Here is a 17,478-nt window from a genome sequence, read left to right as displayed (position 1 = left end):
TATATTATTAAGATTTTAGCATACTAAATTTCTGCAGTTACTACTGACTTACTCAGTTTCTGTATTCTTTGAAATTTCAGTATCAGGTTGGGCAGCTTTACTCTGTTGCAGAAGCTAGTAAGAATGAGACTGGTGGTGGAGAAGGAATTGAAGTCTTAAAGAATGAACCTTATGAGAAGGATGGAGAAAAGGGACAGTATACGCACAAAATTTATCACCTAAAGAGGTAAGCGGTGTTCACATTTGACGCCTTGTAACTACCTGGCTTACTTATGATGCATGTAACTAGCTAACTTAACTAGTAGATGTGAAGTACATTTTTAATTTCAGTTTGATAATATATTGCATTTTAATTCTTTGGCAGAACCTCCTCCTTTATTTGTAAATTAGAAAAGGATTATATCTGCTTATAACAAAAATTCAGATAAAAACTTAGTCCCTGCTCCTTGCCATCAAATATTTGTAACACAGAGAGAAACACTAGAAGCAGCTTAGAGTTTATCTTTCTAGATCATTTTCTGTATATATTCAAAGGAATTTTTAAAACATAGCGATGTATTACTTGTATCAATTTTAGTTTTCTACAACAAATGGACCATATGAATGGTTTTGCAGTTTGCTTTATTTCTGATGAACATCTTCCATATTGTTATTTAATATCTGTGTGATTCTTTTTAAAGCTAAGTAAAATTTCTTCTGGACATAGTATAGTTTACTTAACCATTCCCTACGTTGTAAGTCCATTTAGGTATTTTAGAATTTTCTAGTTTTTGTCTGTTATAAATAATGTTTCTGGCCAGGTGTGGTGGCTCACATCTGTAATCTCAGCACTTTGGGAGACAGAGGCAGGAGGATTGCTTAAGCCTAGGAGTTCGACACCAGCCTGGGCAACACAAGGAGACCCCATCTCTAGTACAACAACAACAACAGCAAAAAAATTGGCCAGGCGCGGTGGCTCACGCTTGTAATCCCAGCACTTTGGGAGGCTGAGGCGGGCAGATTACGAGGTCAAGAGATCGAGACCACCCTGGTCAGCATGGTGAAACCCTGTCTCTACTAAAAATACAAAAATTAGCCTGGGTGTGGTGGCGCACGCCTATAGTCCCAGCTACTTGGGAGGCTGAGGCAGCAGGATCTTTTGAACCGAGGAGGTGGAGGTTGCAGTGAGCCGAGATCACACCACTGCACTCCAGCCTGGTGACAGAGCGAGACTCCGTCTCAAAAAAAAAAAAAAAAAAAGAAATTAGTGGGGCATGGTGGTGTACGCTTATGGTCCCAGCTACTTGGGATGCTGAGGTGGGAGGATCACTTGGACCCAGGAGTTAGAGGTTGCAGTGGGCTGTGATCACTGCACTTCAGCCTGGGCGAAAGAACAAGATGGACGCTGTCTCAAAAAATAAACTTTTATGAACATGGTTGTACATGTGTCTATATGCCTTAGGTTACTGTTCCTAAGAGAAGTTATAAAATGAGAAATTAATAAAAGGATTGCTGGGAGGACATGCACCTTTTAAATTTTGATATTACTGCCAAAATTGCCCTTCAAGAGTTTGATAGTATTTTTCCATATTTTTCTTTTTAATTTTTGCTAATTTCGTAGACAAAAGATAGTCTCTTGTTAAAATTTGTATTTCTTTATTAGTGAGGTTGAATGTCTTTTTATGTTAATTGACCATTTGAATTTCTTGTATGACTTTTGACTCTTCATATGCTTTCTTCATTGTTTCTTTTCTCTTTGGTTTGTTGAAGTTTTTTTGCACATTCCCTTAAGTTTGGCAGTCTAATCTGTATCTTTGGCATAAATATTTTAAAACAAAAAATGCTGGCCAAGTGTGGTGGCTCAGGCCTATAATCCCAGAACTTGGGAGGCTGAGGTGGGAGTATTGCTTGAGCTCAGGAGTTTGAGACCAGTCGGGGCAATATAGTGGGACCTCATCTCCACAAAAAGAAGAAACAAGCCAAAAAAAAAAAAAAAAAAAAAAGTACTACCAGTATTTATCTAAGGGCAGAAGACCAGTAATGGCTTTTAAGAGTCCATTTTGTCATTGTCTCCCTAGTTAATTACAGGTGGGGGATCTTTTGCCTCTATTCTCTTCATATTGAAATGAATCATACTCATGTTTTGTGGAACTCCTTAAAGTTGTAGCTGTCATGATCAGATTTTTTTTATATTTCCTCAGCTTAACTCTGCTACTTGATTTACAGTGACCCATAACCTACTCATCCTTGGTTTATAGTGACACATAATCTTATCTCTTTATAGAACCTTAAATTTTATCATTATTTTCGCTTAGAATACAGCATTTCTTTGCTTCTGTTGCTGGTTTGACTTAAGAAATAAGGCAGTAACTCTGATCAATCAATTATCCATAAGGAAGGTCTTTTCATGGTTTCTATTAATTTGTTAGTACCCTAAGTATATCTGAAAAATATGTCTATTGAGAGAAGATTTTGGCATTCCAGATGGTATAGTCTATATATATTTAAAGTTTTGAATTTGCTTATATATACTCAGCTTTCTTTTTCTAGCATTTTTGCATTTACCTGTTAATTGAAGTATACCCCACCACATATAAAAGTTCCTCTTAAAGACACTGGACTCTTCCTGGGGGTTCTAAAATAAGCCAAAAAGTTTGATGTATAAAATTTTTTATTGGCCTCTGATGTTCTGTTTAGATCACTATCCTATAAGTAAATAAATTTGAAATAGATTCAAAATGTCCTCTGGTTGAAATCTAAGAGTTGGAATGTTGAGGAAGTGTTTGATACATTCTTGCATGGAAAAGAACAGTTTGAAATAATGTGTAATACATAATACATTACATGTGTTTTGAAAAAAATCAGAAAAAAAAAAAGCCTAAAAGAGGTACATTAAGATGTTGAGAATATTTATCACCTGGTAGTGGGATATGGGTGATTTAAAAAATCCCACTTAAATCACCCATATCCCACTACCAGGTGATAAATATTCTCTTCTGTATTTTCATTTTTATGAGAAAGAAAAGGAATGTTAAATATGATTTTTGAAACAGTTGATTTAGGTAACACTCCAGTCATGAATAAGGAGTCTCGTAAGTTGAAGAGGGCTAGATAAATATGGTTAGTGCAAGAGATATTCTTATTCCGGAGAGGTTATTTGGGGATGAGGTTCAGAATTCCTCTCAGGCTTTCAGTGGTTAAATAAAAGAAGATTTTGGCTCTCGGTGGCCAACCTTCCAGCACATTTGGGCTTCTAGAACAACTTCTCCATTCCTAGGAGGAGCGGAGTACCCTGTGGTTTTACCCTCTCATGCACTCATTTACTTGTCATTGCAATCCTGAGAAATAGACAATATTCATATTGTACCTAAGACACTAAGGCACGTATTTACCCAAGGTCACAGCTAATAAGTGACAGAATGGTGACAGAGACCTAGGTGCTCTGATTTCAAATCCCACACCCACATCAAGTCCCAGATGCCTGATGAATACAAGGCACTCCCATGAGAAGGGAGAGAGGGGATCTGCTGGGATGGCGAGGGTTGATTCCCATAGAAGGTTGGCCTTATCACACAAAGATGGCAGCTGTGGGCAAAAGCACAGAGAGGAATGAGACAGGAAAGGGAAAAAGGCAAGAGGGTGGCAGTAATGAGTCTCAGGCAGCATGGGAAATAATGACTATTCTGACAGTAGTGAGGAACAAAAACCTAACCAATAATAAATAAACTGGGCAAAACAGGGCCCATTTGCTGTCCTCTGGAGGAGGGAATGGCTATGGGGCAGTCAGATGTCCACAATGACAAATTTCTCAGTGTCAACATTGAAAGCACATCAGCCACAGGATAACTATATTATGGAAGGGCAAAGAATCATTTAGTAGTAAGTGCTGAGGCCTTCACTGTTCTGCAGGAAAGACCTCCATCCCAAGGCAAGCCTAAAGGTGCAGCCCCATGAGACTCACAGTTTTCTTTAGGGCATCATCTCAGCATGCTGAAGACATACCCATAGTCCCTAGCTAGTTTTAGAGCTCTCCCTGAGGAAGTTAAATTTGTGTCTAGTAATATGTTTGCTTTTTCAACAACATTTACTCCATAAATTATCCTAAGCTGGGTGCACCGTCACTATATAACATCAATAAAACTACAAACTTGACTAAGGCCACCAAGGCCTTATTTTACTTTTGAGATACTTGAAATTCTGAGATCTACTTTAGCCAGTATAACTCAAGTCTCTGGATTCCCTGACCTGTATGCTTTCCCATTTCAGCAAAACACTTCTTGGTAGCATATATACACTTAATCTCAACCAGAAGGTTGAGAAACAGTCTTTGTGAATATTGACAAAATCTGAAAGTTGGTTACTCATTGCACGGGACATTTGAAATGTCTGGTTTCCTTGAATCTCAGGTGATACATCATCTCATGGGATAATGAGATTTTGTCCATATTTTGTTTGATAACTTAGAGTGAGTGTTTGCCCATGGTAATTCTGAACAGATCTAGTACTTATGTATTTTTACTGTGTGCTGGTCACTGGGTTATTGGAAGTGTTTTAGGTGGGAGTTTATTCATTCCTCACAGCAACTTTTTATAGTGAGGAAACTGAGGTCCAGAAAGGTTTAACTTACCACATGTCTCACTGCTATTTGGTAGCAGAGATAGGACTTGAACACAGACCAACTCCAGAACCTGCCCTCTTAACCACTTTGCTCAACTAACCACTTTGCTCTACGTCTGAATCCTGTGGAAGAGTTATTTTCCATTTCCTGAAGTTAACTCCTTGGGAGTTTAGAGAAAAATTCTTCCAAAACCACAGGTTTCACCATCTCTTACTTTCTCTGAAGTCTTTAACGTCTAAAGTCTTCTTCCAAAATAAAGCTAAACTTAACAAGGTATTTAAGATTCCCAATTGTATAAGTCCATCCAGAACAAAAACCCTTGGCTGTAAGCAATCCAGTCTCTGCTGTCTTCCTAACATAAACTGTTCAGCCCACCCTGAGCGTTTTTTTCAGCCCCTTATGCTGGGGCCTCTCATAACCTGCTTGGTTTTCTGAGTACACCTCAGAACTATCCTATGCAGAGGCATTCCATGGCTGATTTTATTCACTTCGATCCCTCTTCCCTAAATCCATCATATTTGTCATTTCGACTCATTTTGATACCTAGTCATATATTTCCATATGTGCATGTTTGTCTTGTTGTATCCTGTTTTCCACTAAAGTTTGTTTCTTTGATAATAACTTAGTAGTAGATGGCAGTGAAAGAGGAAGGAATTTACTGGGCAGAGAATTTTGGAGCAAGACAAAGAAATGTGTTGTAACTTTCAGATGGTATTTCAGAGAAAAGCTTGTAGCTCTCCTGAGACCTCACTGTACGAACACACTGACCAGTCCTTTTTGCTAGTTTATTTGCTCACCCTTCTTGAGGAAAGTCAGCTTTATTATTTCTTATTCTGCGTAAGTGTTACACTTTCGCCATCTTCAGTCAGTCCTGATTGATGGGGAATTTATAAAGCTTTGCCAACTCCAGAACCACCTTGTTTCCCAAAGGTCGAAACAGAAGAGGTTTTTATTGAAAAATAGTTATTTTAAAATTTCATGTGGTTCCAAGGTAAGAGTTCATTTTTGTAAGCAAAAGGAGTCATTTGCCAGGAACTTAAATTATGTTTAAAAATGAGGAATTTAAATCACTTGAAAATGAAAGGATTGATTGTAACATACTTCTTCACATTCAGAGAGCATCTTGCACATGTAAGAAATTAATAGGCTGGGTGTGGTGGCTTGCCTGGAATCCCAGCACTTTGGGAGGCCAAGGCGGGTGGATTATTTGAAGTCAGGAGTTCGAAACCAGCCTGGCCAACATGGTGAAACCCCGTCTCTACTAAAAATACAAAAAATTTAGCGGAATGTGGTGGCAGGCACCTGTAATCCCAGCTACTTGGGAGGCTGAGGCAGGAGGATTGCTTGAACCTGGGAGGTGGAGGTTGCAGTGAGCCAAGATAATGATTGTACTCCAGCCTGGGAGACAAGAGTGAGACTCCGTCTCAAACAAAAAAAGTAAAGGAAAAATTTATAAATATCAGCCAAACATAATTTGTTCTTGAGTCAAGAATTAGCCATCATAGACACATGTTATTTGTCATTATATGTAGTTTAGTCCTAAAGTTTTCACAGTTCAGAGTTTTCCAAATCAAGAGTGATCCTGTTTCTGAAAAATATCAGAAGTATTTTCTGAAATATATTGTTTCCTCTTGATGGTGTATCTCATTTTTCATTTATTATTCCCCTTTTATTGTGTGAAAAATACTTTTCTCTTTGTTTTTTGTAATTCTCCAGGACTTTAGAGTCTCTTGTCTCCCAGAAGTTAGGCAGTTTGTGTCTGGTTATTTTATTCCCTTCCCACAAACTGGGGTTGTAAATCATTTCTGTAATTTCCCTCCTCTTGTATCTTCTTTTCTTTCTTTCTTCCATCTCCATCATTACTGTTAATCAATCAAAGTTACCTTCTCTCTCTTAGACTTGCCTCCTGGCTGATATTTTGCCATCCATTCTTTTTCTGACTTTAAAATTAATTGAGATATAATTTATATGCCATAAAATTCATTCTTTTAAAATGCACACTTCAGTAGTTTTTGGTATATTCACAGAGTTGGGCAACTGCCATTGTTACTTAATTTCAGAACATTTTCAACAATCCAGAAAGAAATCTCGTATTCATTAGCAGTCACTGACTATTACCCACTCCTCCCAGTGCCTGGCAACCACTGATCTACTTTCTGTCTCTGTAGATATACTGTGGATATTTTATATAAATGGAATCATGTAATATGTGGCCTTCCGTGATTGACTTCTTTCACTTAGCGTGTTTTCAAGGCTTGTCTGTGTTAAAGCATGTATCACTACTGCTTTGATTGCTGAGTAATATTCCATTGTATAGGCCTGCCACATTTTGTTTATCCATTCATCAGTTGTTGAACATTTGGGTTGTTTTCACTTTTGGCTGTTACAAGTAATGCTGCTGTTAACATTTGTGCATACTTTTTTGTGTGTGTGTGAACATGTTTTCAGTTCTCTTGGAGATATATATTGCTGTGAGTGAAATTGGCTGGGTCATATGATCACTCTGTGTTTAACCTTTTGAGGAACTGTCAATCAGCTTCCCGAAACAACTACACCACTTTATAATGTTATCAGCAGTGTATGAAGGTTCCAGTTTCTCCACATCCTCATTATCTTTTTTATTACAAGCATTCTAGTGTGTGTGAAGTGGTATCTCATTGTGGTTTTGGTTTTGATTTGCATTTTCTTGGTGATTAATGATGTTAACATCTTTTCAAGTGCTTTTTGGTCATTTGTATATCTTCTTTGTTTGAAGAAATATCTGTTCAAATCTTGTACCCCCACTTTCTTTTTAGTTTTTTTTTTTTTTTTTTTTGGGAGACAGGGTCTCACTATGTCATCTAGGCTGGACTGCAGTTGCTTGATGATAGCTCACTGTAGCCTTGAACTCCTGGGCTCAAGCAATCCCCCCACCTCAGCCTCTCGAGTAGCTGGGACCATAGGTGTGCACCACTGTGCTCTGCTAATTTTTTTTTTTGTAGAGGTGGGGGGTCTCCCTGTATTGCCCAGGCTGGTCTCCAACTCCTGGTGCTTAAGCTATCCTCCTGCTTCAGCCTCCCAAAGTACTGGGATTACAGGTGTGAGCCACTGGCCTTGGCTGCCCATTCTTTTTTTTTTTTTTTTTTGAGACAGTTTCACTCTTGTTGCCCAGGCTAGAGTGCAATGGCGTGATCTCGGCTCACCACAACCTCCGCCTTCCGGGTTCAAGAGCTTCTCCTGCCTCAACCTCCCGAGTAGCTGGTATTACAGGCATGCACCACCACGCCTGGCTAATTTTGTATTTTTAGTAGAGACGGGGTTTCTCCATGTTGGTCAGGCTGGTCTCGAACTCCTGACCTCAGGTGATCTACCCTCCTCGGCCTCCTAAAGTGCTGGGATTATAGGCCTGAGCCACCATGCCTGGCCTCTGGCTGCCCATTTTGAAATTGAGTTTTCTTTGTTAAGTTGTCTTATTTATATATTCCGGGTACTAGTTCCTTATCATAGAGGTGATTTGCAGATTTTTCCCCCATTCTGTGAGTTATCTTTTCACTTTCTTGATAGTGTCTTTTGAAGCTTAAAAAGTTTTTAATTTTGGTGTTTGCCTATAGTCCCAGCTACCTAAGAGGCTGAGGTGGGAGGATTGCTTGAGGCCAGGATTTCAAGACCAGCCCGGGCAATATAGCAAAACATACTGCGACCCCATCTTTACAAAAAAATTTAAAAATTAGCCCAGTCACAGTACAGCGTACCTGTTTGTCATAGCTACTCAGGAGACGAGGTGGGAGAATCGCTTGAGCCCAGAAGTTAGAGGTGGCAGTGATCTATGATTACACCACTGTTCTCCAGCCTAGTGACACAGCAAGACCCTGTCTCTTAAAAAACCAAAGAAAAAAATAGTTTATGATTTTGATGAAGTCCAATTTATTTTTTCTTTTTGTAGTTTATGCTTTTGGTGTCATCAAAGAAATCATTGCCCAATCCAAGATCATAAAGATTTACATCTGTATTTTCTTATAAGAATTTTATAGTTTTAGTTTTTATTTAAGTCTTTATCCATTTTGAGTTAATTTTTGCAATTAACTCAATAATTGCATCCATTCTTTCCCACTCCAATTAATTTTTCACACAAAGCCAGAATGGTCGTAAAACTGAAATCAGGTTGTGCCATTCCCCTTTTTAAAGCTTTCAGTGGCTTCCCATCATCCAAAGAATAAAATCTAAACTCTGTGACGTATAAGGTGGGGCCCATGTGGTCTTTCTGCCCTCTCTCCATGTTTGGTCACTGCAGTCTAGCCATGCTGGAGGCCTAAGAGTGGCTCAAGCACGTTAAGTCTTTTGCTGTCTTAGGACCTGTAGTCATGCTGTTCCCTCTGCTTGCTGTTCTGTTCCCTGCCTCCGTACCCTTGGATCACTGCTGTAATATTATTTCCTCAGAGAGGCCTTCCCGAATACCCTTGCTCCACTTACTGATTGCCCAGTACCCTGTTCTTTAATTTCACTGCACTGCTTGTTAAGTAATTCTCTTTGTATTTTGTTGTTTACTAATCTGTTTTCTGCCTCCATCCCTGGAAATAAGTTCTGAGTAGGAGTCGTCCCTGCGTACTCACCATTATTTACACAGCCCCTGGCCTGGCGCAGTGGACACAGGAAATATTTGAGTGGATGAATGAATGAGGTACCCAGTATTTTATGTATGTAGGTATATATATATTTATTATTATTATTTTTGAGACACAGTCTCACTGTGTCCCCAGGCTGAAGTACAGTGGTGTGATCTTGGCTCACTGCAGCGTCCACCTCCCTGAGTCAAGCGACTCTCCTGCCTCAGCCTCCCAAGTGGCTGGGATTGTAGGCACCCGCCACCATGTCCAGCTAATTTTTGTGTTTTTAGTAGACACAGGGTTTCATCATGTTGGCCAGGCTGGTCTCGAACTCCCAACCTCAGGTGATCCTCCCACCTTGACCTCTGGCAAAGTGCTTGGATTACAGGTGTGAGCCACCGCACCTGGCCCTTTCTTTTCTTTTCTTGCCTTCTCAGCTGAGCTTTTCCTGACTAGTGAAGAGAAGGCATCACAGTGTATTTAGGGGATATTTCAGTTGATTGTAAAATGAAAGATTAATTGGTTTATTTATGGTAAATTAATCTGGTCTTCAAATTCTTCCCTATATTTTTCTGTGTTTTGATGTTCATCTGCAGTGGGAAGGAGAAGGGTGGGAAAAGTTGTCTTGCTTGTGTGGTTTACAGATAGACATAATAATTTCCAGGGAAAAGTGCATGGTATTATTTATCTCAGGAATAGGATTAAAAAAGGAATGTGCCTAGATCAGGCGTTCAGTGTACCTTATGGTCATATTTTACCCTGAAGTTAAATAGTCTTAAAGTACTATTCAGAGTGGGAGAAGCGGTATGTATTCCTGAAGAGTCTTCATGGTCCTGGGCATTGTGCTATGGGTAACTCTTAACTCTTCACTCTTAAGCAGCTGAAATCTAGCCATGTTTACCTTGAGGTAAGTGAACGCTGTTCCGAGTATTGGTTTATCATGAGGGAGCACCATTTTGTGAATAGTTTGGGAGGACAACTGAAGGATTGTCTTTTTTGCATGTTTGTTTTTGAAGGCCTATCTCCCATTTTGTTAATTCAGTTAATAATTGTTCCTTTTCTGAGGCTCTCTAAGCTTCCAAAACAGGAATCTGCTACATTTTACTAAAGGGCCTTACTATTGTTCATTCAGTTAATAATTGTTCTTTTCGGAGGCTAAGCTTCCAAATGAGGAATCTGCTGCATTTTACTAAAGTGCCTTGCTAAGTGGTAACTGTGGTGGCAAAATGATGTATATGCTCTCAATTATATATACCTGGCACACTTGAACTACCATGTTAGGAATATATTAAGGTTGCCATTAATAAAAATTTCTAACCTTTGAAGTAGAATTGAAATTTAATTTTATTTACTCCATGTGCACATTTTCCTCGTTTAGTCAGTTACTTAGATTCATTGAGGAGAGATGTATTTGATAATGTTCTCACGTTAAACATAAAAAAAAAGTAAATTTGAAATCTAGCTTATAGATTTGGACTTTATTAACTCAGTCAAAACATAAAATGAATTGCTGGAATTCACATGGTGGGAAAAGTATCTTAGAAATAAGATAGTAGGCATTTGGGAGCGAGATAAAGAAATATTAAAATTTTCATGTAGATTTGGCTCATGTTGGCCTTTAATGATAAATGCCAATTTCCTTCTATTTGAGTCAGCAAATTTTAGAACATTTTATGAATATTAAGGTTCTTCACATATCAGGCACTATAGGAATAAATGGATAGTTAAAATATGTGTCTGAGTTAATACAGAATTGTTTCTCCTGCCTTTTTGTTTTTTCTTTCTTTTTTTTTTTTTATTTTTTATTTTAAAGACAGAGTCTTGCTATGTCACCCATGCTGGAGTGAAATGGCATGATCTCAGCTCACTGCACCCTCCACCTCCCAGGTTCAAGCAATTCAGCCTCAGTGTCCCGAGTAGCTGGGATTGCAGGCACCCACCACCATGCCCGGCTAATTTTTTGTATTTTTAGTAGAGATGGGTTTTGCCATGTTGGCCAGGCTGGTCTCGAACTCCTGACCTCAGGTGATCCACCCACCTCTGCCTCCCAAAGTGCTGGGATTAGAGGCGTGAGCCACCACGCCTGGCCTCTCCTGCTTTTTCTAAGTTGACCAGCTGAACCATTGATAGATCTGTTTGTCATACTCTCAGATGAATAGGTAGTCTTGTAGCTTGGCTTAAAAAATTATCCTCATGTGTTCCATTGTACCCTGATTAGACCTCACCCACACTTAAAGGGATTTTGGTTCTAGTTCTTTAGCAATGGGATAAATTTTTTGGACAGCTAGATACTCTTTGACTTTTAAAGTGATGTTATTTTCAGTTATCCTGGCTTGGTGTTTCTGAAGTTTGAATGAATTGTTCCACCATTTGAAAAGAAGTGATCAGGCCGGGCGCGGTGGCTCACGCCTGTAATACCAGCACTTTGGGAGGCCAAGGCGGGCGGATCACGAGGTCAGGAGATGAAGACCACCCTGGCTAACACGGTGAAACCCTGTCTCTACTAAAAATACAAAAAAATTAGCCGGGCCTAGTGGCGGGCGCCTGTACCCCCAGCTATTCGGGAGCCTGAGGCAGGAGAATGGCGTGAACCCAAAGTGGAGCTTGCAGTGAGCCGAGATCCTGCCACTGCACTTCAGCCTGGGCAACAGAGTGAGACTCCGTCTCAAAAAAGAAAAAAGAAATAAGTGAACAAAGAATTAGCTCCTTTCATTTTTAAGGATGTGAAGACATTAAGGAAGATTTAAATGAAGAAAGGCATATGAAAATACCCAGCTCCGTATCAACTTATAATTAAAAAGCAGTAACTACCATTTTTTGAGCTCATTGTACTGTGCAATGTGCTAAACACATTCCAGTATTTGATTTAATTCTCTTAATAACCCTGCAGAGCAGGTAATAGGAATTCCATTCAACACATGAGGAATTTCAGAGAAGCCAAGTAGCAGGCCTAAGGTCACACAGCTTCCAAATGGTGATGTTGGGATTTGAATTCGATCTGTGTGAAAAGTCTGTGCAAGCAAAACTACTCTTTACAGTAGGCTCCAGTCACTATATCAGTCACTTCATTTGCATTTATTTGAAGACTGTTAAGACTGATTTTCCCATTTGTTTGTTAACAAATAACATTTTCTATTTGTAATGGGCCTGTGGATGACTTTTGCCCCTTTATATGTTGGGATTGTTTCTGATTATCATATGCTTGCACAAGCTTCTCATATATTAATCATGTATTGAACCTTTCTCTTCCTCTGAATATACTTAAGGCAGCAAGTGACATTCATCTCCCATACCTACAAAATTTTATACTTGGATATGCTTTAATTTCTCATTTTCTGCATGGGTCCTTTACATTGTCATTTTTCTTCAGGTCTGTTCTATAAAATGTATTCAGACTTTTATTCAGAGATATCTCCTTATTCTGGGGCTTTTTGCATTAAGAAACAGTATAATGTCATCTAACTCTTAAGAACTACATTGTATTAATGTGCAGATTGAATAGCTGTTAACTCTTAGGTTTTACATTGGGGTAGTAGATCAGAAGTTCTTAAGAAATAATTGCTTCTATTTAAAAAAAAAAAAACCACACACACACACACAAAACCTTTTATACAGTTAATTTTTTTTTTCCTTGTGAGACAAGGTCTTGCTCTTTTGCCCAGGCTAGAGTGCAGTGGTGTGATCTCAGCTTGCTGCAACCTCTATCTCCCAGGTTCAAGTGATCCTCCCACCTGAGCCTCCTGAATAGTTGGGGCTACAGGCATGTGCCACCATGCCTGGCTAGTTTTATATTTTTTGTAGAGACAGGGTTTCACCATGTTGTCCAGGCTAGTCTCAAACTCCTGGGCTCAAGTGATCCTCCTGCCTCAGCCTCTCAAAATGCTAGGATTACAGGCATGAGCCACCATACCCAGCTAAATATTCTTAATCATTTTTATTTAAAATGTAAAAAATTATGTGTTCATTTCTACTGGATTACTTTAGGATTGAAATAAACTAGTTCATCAGACTTAGAACCTGGTCACCTTTGATTGCCATACTCTTTCAAGCAGTTGGATAGATACCAAGAAAGAATTGATGGTGCTGTTAAATATATCCAGTATCTCTCTTCTCCCAGCAAAGTGCCTGCATTCGTGAGGATGATTGCTCCCGAGGGCTCCTTGGTGTTTCATGAGAAAGCCTGGAATGCGTACCCCTACTGTAGAACAAGTAAGCTTGGCCCCCAGCAGCCATTGCACCCCTCCACCCTGAGAATGAGAGGGATTCCCAGTACCAGTGTCTTTGAGAAGGTTTACACTGAGCAAGGTCTTCCTTGGGTTCTTGGATAGTCACTGCTAGAATGATGGCAGAGGAAGGGCTGCATTGGGTTCCTCCCCCTAGAACTTTGTGACAGGCATAAGTTCATTCCCACATGGCAGCCACTTTGGGGTCCTAGCTGACTATGCTGGCTCCAGGGGTAAGCCAAAAGAAAGGTCGTTTACACTCAGAAGGGTGTTTTGGTGTGTTTCAACAGTATTTTACTTAAATTGCTACATAATAGAGGAGGAATAGGACAGACTTCTGAAACAGCATCCTATCATTTGCTAAATTGACCTTATAAATAATGTTTTGCTTTTGTGACATTATTATTCTTTTTAGCATTATTTTTAAAATTAGATTATTGTTCATATTTTATTTGTACTCCATAATCTAATGTACTGTATAGTGTCACTTGTGTGGAAACTGTTTTGCAGACATAAATTACTAAATAAATGTTCTGTTTTCAGATAGTTTAGTCTTTGTGACATTAAGTATTGGGACAGATTGTTTTGACTCCAATTAATATTCTGAAATTTTTCTCCTTTCATTACCTACCTCTCCATTATGCCTCAGTTGTAACGGTGAGTAAAACTATTTTTGTGTCTCATACTTTCTTTATCTTTAAACTTTGTTTTACACAGTAATTATTTTCAACCATTCTTTGCTAACTGCACCTCGCTGCATGGTTCCTTCCTGTGTCCCACCAACCAGCCGCCACACTCTACCACATGTTCCCAGTGTTCATGGGCCCTTTCCACCCTTGTCTCAAAATCTCCCTATTGATTTTATTTTGCTTTTGTTACTCCCTTCAAACGCCATATTTGTTTATCAGACCTCACAGCTTCTTTATTAGCCCGATATGCCACGTGGCAAGTAGAATTGTTTAAATTATTTAAAAGCATGTAGCATTTGGTTTGCCTGACAAGTCTATAAAAATCGGTAGCCAATGATTCTTTGTCACTTGAGTATCAGTCTCCTTGTAGAGTCAAAGCATGGATGCCTATACTGGGAAAAGCTCCCTCAGACGTGGGCACCAAGGAACAGGTAGAAGATCACTGTCATTTTCCTGTTGTGTTTTCTGCAGAATGAATATATGAAAGATGATTTCTTCATTAAAATCGAAACATGGCACAAACCAGACTTGGGAACATTAGAAAATGTAAGTTTCAACTCTGCACTTTTAGTACAAAAGTCCCTGGAAACGAGAATTCTATATGTAGTTCACTTTGTCATCATCAAAGTAATGTCACCTGTGTATCTGACCGCACCAAGCTGTGTCAAATTGAGATGAGGCGGGCAAGCAGCCAGAAACCAAATAGGCTTTCCCTATCAGTCCGCTTGCCTTGACACTTTGGTAAAGTTGCTGTTTTGATCAGCAACTCTCTTTATCCGAGACAAGGAGAGCATGAATAAACAAAATTCACAGATAATCCCCAGCCCAATTTTAGCCATTAGTTTTGCTAATTAGATTGCTTTTATATCTGAGTGTTTGTCAGAGCTGCTCTGCATAGCAGGATTGATTGCTTTAATTTTTACCTCTTGTCTGCTTTGCAAGGGTATGGGCTCATGTTAGAGAAATGGCCAAAAGGCAGGAGGGATAAAGTACTTGAATAACTTACAAAAATGTTGAAAAGCTGTTGACTTATATAAGTTGGTTCACATTTATCTCTTTAAGATTCAAGAACATCTTTGAGTTAGGACTTAAAAAAATGTAATCATTAACTTTTGGTAAGGTTTGTCGTGGAACTTGGGAAGTCCTGTTGTATAGGTTGATGCCCTTGGTCTAGGAGTTCTCAAAAGTGTGGTCTTTGGATGGGCCAGCAGCAGCACAGTATCTGAGGACTTGTTTGAAATGCAAATACTCTGACCTCACCCAAGAACTACCGAACCAGAATCTCTAGGGGTGGGACTCAGCAGTTTCTGTTTTCTGATGCACATTCATTCCAGGAGAGTAGGTTAATGATTGTGGCAAATTCTGTTTTTACTGTTCTATTACGGTGCTCTTACGTTATTGATGCCAGTTAATAGAACTTTGAATTTTAATATGTAGTATTTTACTTGAGTTTTCTTTCAAGTGATCATTTGACATTTTATGTTGTTTTTCTTTTTGTTTTTTTTTTTGAGACAGAGTCTTACTTTGTTGCCCAGGCTGGGGTGCAATCACGTGCTGTCTGCTCAGTGCAACCTCTGCCTCCTGGGTTCAAGCAATTCTCCTGCCTCAGCCTCCCAAGTAGCTGGGACTGCAGGCATGCACCACCATGCCTGGCTAACTTTTGTATTTTCAGTAGAGATGGAGTTTCACCATGTTGGCCAGGCTGGTCTTGAACTCCTGACCTCAGGTAATCTGCCTGCCTCAGCCTCCCAAAGTGCTAGGATTACAGGTGTGAGCCACTGCACCCAGCCTTTATGTTGTTTTTCTTAGTAATCCTCTATAATTTATAATCTAGATAAGATTATTTGGTGTGCATTAATCTGTATGACTTAATCTGATATTTTCAGCTTTTAAATGGGCATATCTTTGGCAGTTTTCAAACAATTCCTAATTAGTTCACAGATGGCATTTCAGAAATAAATGATTGATCAACATGCAGTAGAGAGGAGTTGGCATCATACTGAAACTGAATAGCTTTAGGATAATCAAATTTTGGAGAGATTTTAGACCATACAGTGCATCATTTGAATTCTACTTGTAATGTCACCTTATGTTTGTATAGGACTTTGTTGGTTACAAAGGTTACAAGTACTTTGTTGTGTATCATTTGGATTAAGCATAGGTCTCGTATATTTAGTTACATAAATCATCTGTGAGGACTGTCAGAAGATAATATTGACAGGTTTCTATTCATTTGGCAGCATCCTCATTCTCTCCTTCCTTATTATTTGGGGTTATAAGTGGTAATAAAAGACTTTTAGATCCTGCAAAATGTCAGACAGCTAATATAATGAAATAATAATTTGGGTCTTTTAATTCCCTATAATGTCCCCTGAGAGACTCAAGATAAAGATTATATGTGTAAGCATAATAGAATAATCTACAGTTTGTTTTGTTTCTTTTCTCTTTGTCATTGGTAGGTACATGGTTTAGATCCAAACACATGGAAAACTGTTGAAATTGTCCATATAGATATTGCAGATAGAAGTCAAGTTGAACCAGCAGTAAGTATTACTCAATGACATTTAATCTGTTCCCTTTTACAGTTAAAAATTATTTTCTACTATCACATTTGGGATTAAGTTAAAAAAATTATTTCCTTTCTTTCTTGTATGGCCTACATTTCTATGCCGAAGTGAGCTTGGAGTGAAGTCTAGTACGTCTGTGCAGCAAAGAGACCAGAGTAAGAGAGAAGGCGATTTGTTTTCTGTGTAGATTTTGGCTTTGTGCAAGTGATCCCTTTAAGAAATCCCAGTATACCTGGGAAATGTAGGTTGTTTTCATTGAAAAACAAAAAACACATTGTTTACAAAATAATTCTCCCTCCAGCTAGGTCCCTTTTACTTTTCAAATGTGATTAAGAAAGCAAAAATTTAATTTGCATACAAGTATTTAGTAACTCAGCTACAGTTGTTATTTGTGGAAAATGGTTGGTGTAGAGTATCTTTTTAAAAATGTTCTTTTAGATTCCAGAAGTAGGTGTAGAGTATTTTAATTTAATAGTTGTTTAGCTTTCTATTTTGAATCCTATTAAGATGTAAATATTTCTACTCCTGGCTTTTGACTTAATAAAAAAATTTCTTTTTCACAAGTAAAGATGCTTATTCCTCATGCCAGATTAAGACTCAAGATAAAGATTATATATGTAAGCATAATAGAATAATCTTAGGCTGGACACAGTGGCTTCCACTTGTAATCCCAACACTTTGGAAGGCCAAGGAGGGAGGATTGCTTGAGCACAGGAGCTTGAGACCAGCCTGGACAACATAGTGAGATCCTGTCTCTAAAAAGAAAAAAACGATTAGCTGGGCATGGTGGCATGTGCCTGTAATTCCAGCTACATGAGG

The 17,478-nt window shown here is 38.8% G+C and overlaps 1 protein-coding gene across 6 annotated transcripts in view, besides 1 other annotated feature; it reads left to right on the top strand.

The window, feature by feature from the left end:
- Positions 1-17,478, top strand: part of PITPNB (phosphatidylinositol transfer protein beta) — a 67,588-nt gene that overhangs the window by 8,067 nt on the left and 42,043 nt on the right. For all 6 annotated transcript variants that reach the window (NM_001284277.2, NM_012399.5, XM_011530052.3 and 3 more), the window contains exons 3-7: positions 81-226; positions 13,298-13,389; positions 14,053-14,060; positions 14,564-14,638; positions 16,552-16,635. In NM_001284277.2, coding sequence (NP_001271206.1) covers positions 81-226; positions 13,298-13,389; positions 14,053-14,060; positions 14,564-14,638; positions 16,552-16,635 — 405 coding nt within the window. The remainder of the gene's footprint in view (positions 1-80; positions 227-13,297; positions 13,390-14,052; positions 14,061-14,563; positions 14,639-16,551; positions 16,636-17,478) is intronic.
- Positions 15,214-15,263: an enhancer, noted in NCBI's record as "active region_18802". NCBI's record gives its function as "activates an Ori minimal core promoter by ATAC-STARR-seq in GM12878 lymphoblastoid cells {active_cell/tissue: GM12878}" and the evidence as "EXISTENCE:reporter gene assay evidence [ECO:0000049][PMID:35858748]".

The sequence above is a fragment of the Homo sapiens genome, chromosome 22 (assembly GCF_000001405.40).
Source record: "Homo sapiens chromosome 22, GRCh38.p14 Primary Assembly".
In the NCBI taxonomy this organism is placed as follows: Eukaryota; Metazoa; Chordata; class Mammalia; order Primates; family Hominidae; genus Homo; species Homo sapiens.
Note: the sequence above shows the minus strand (reverse complement) of the source record. Positions and strands in the feature narration are given on the sequence as shown.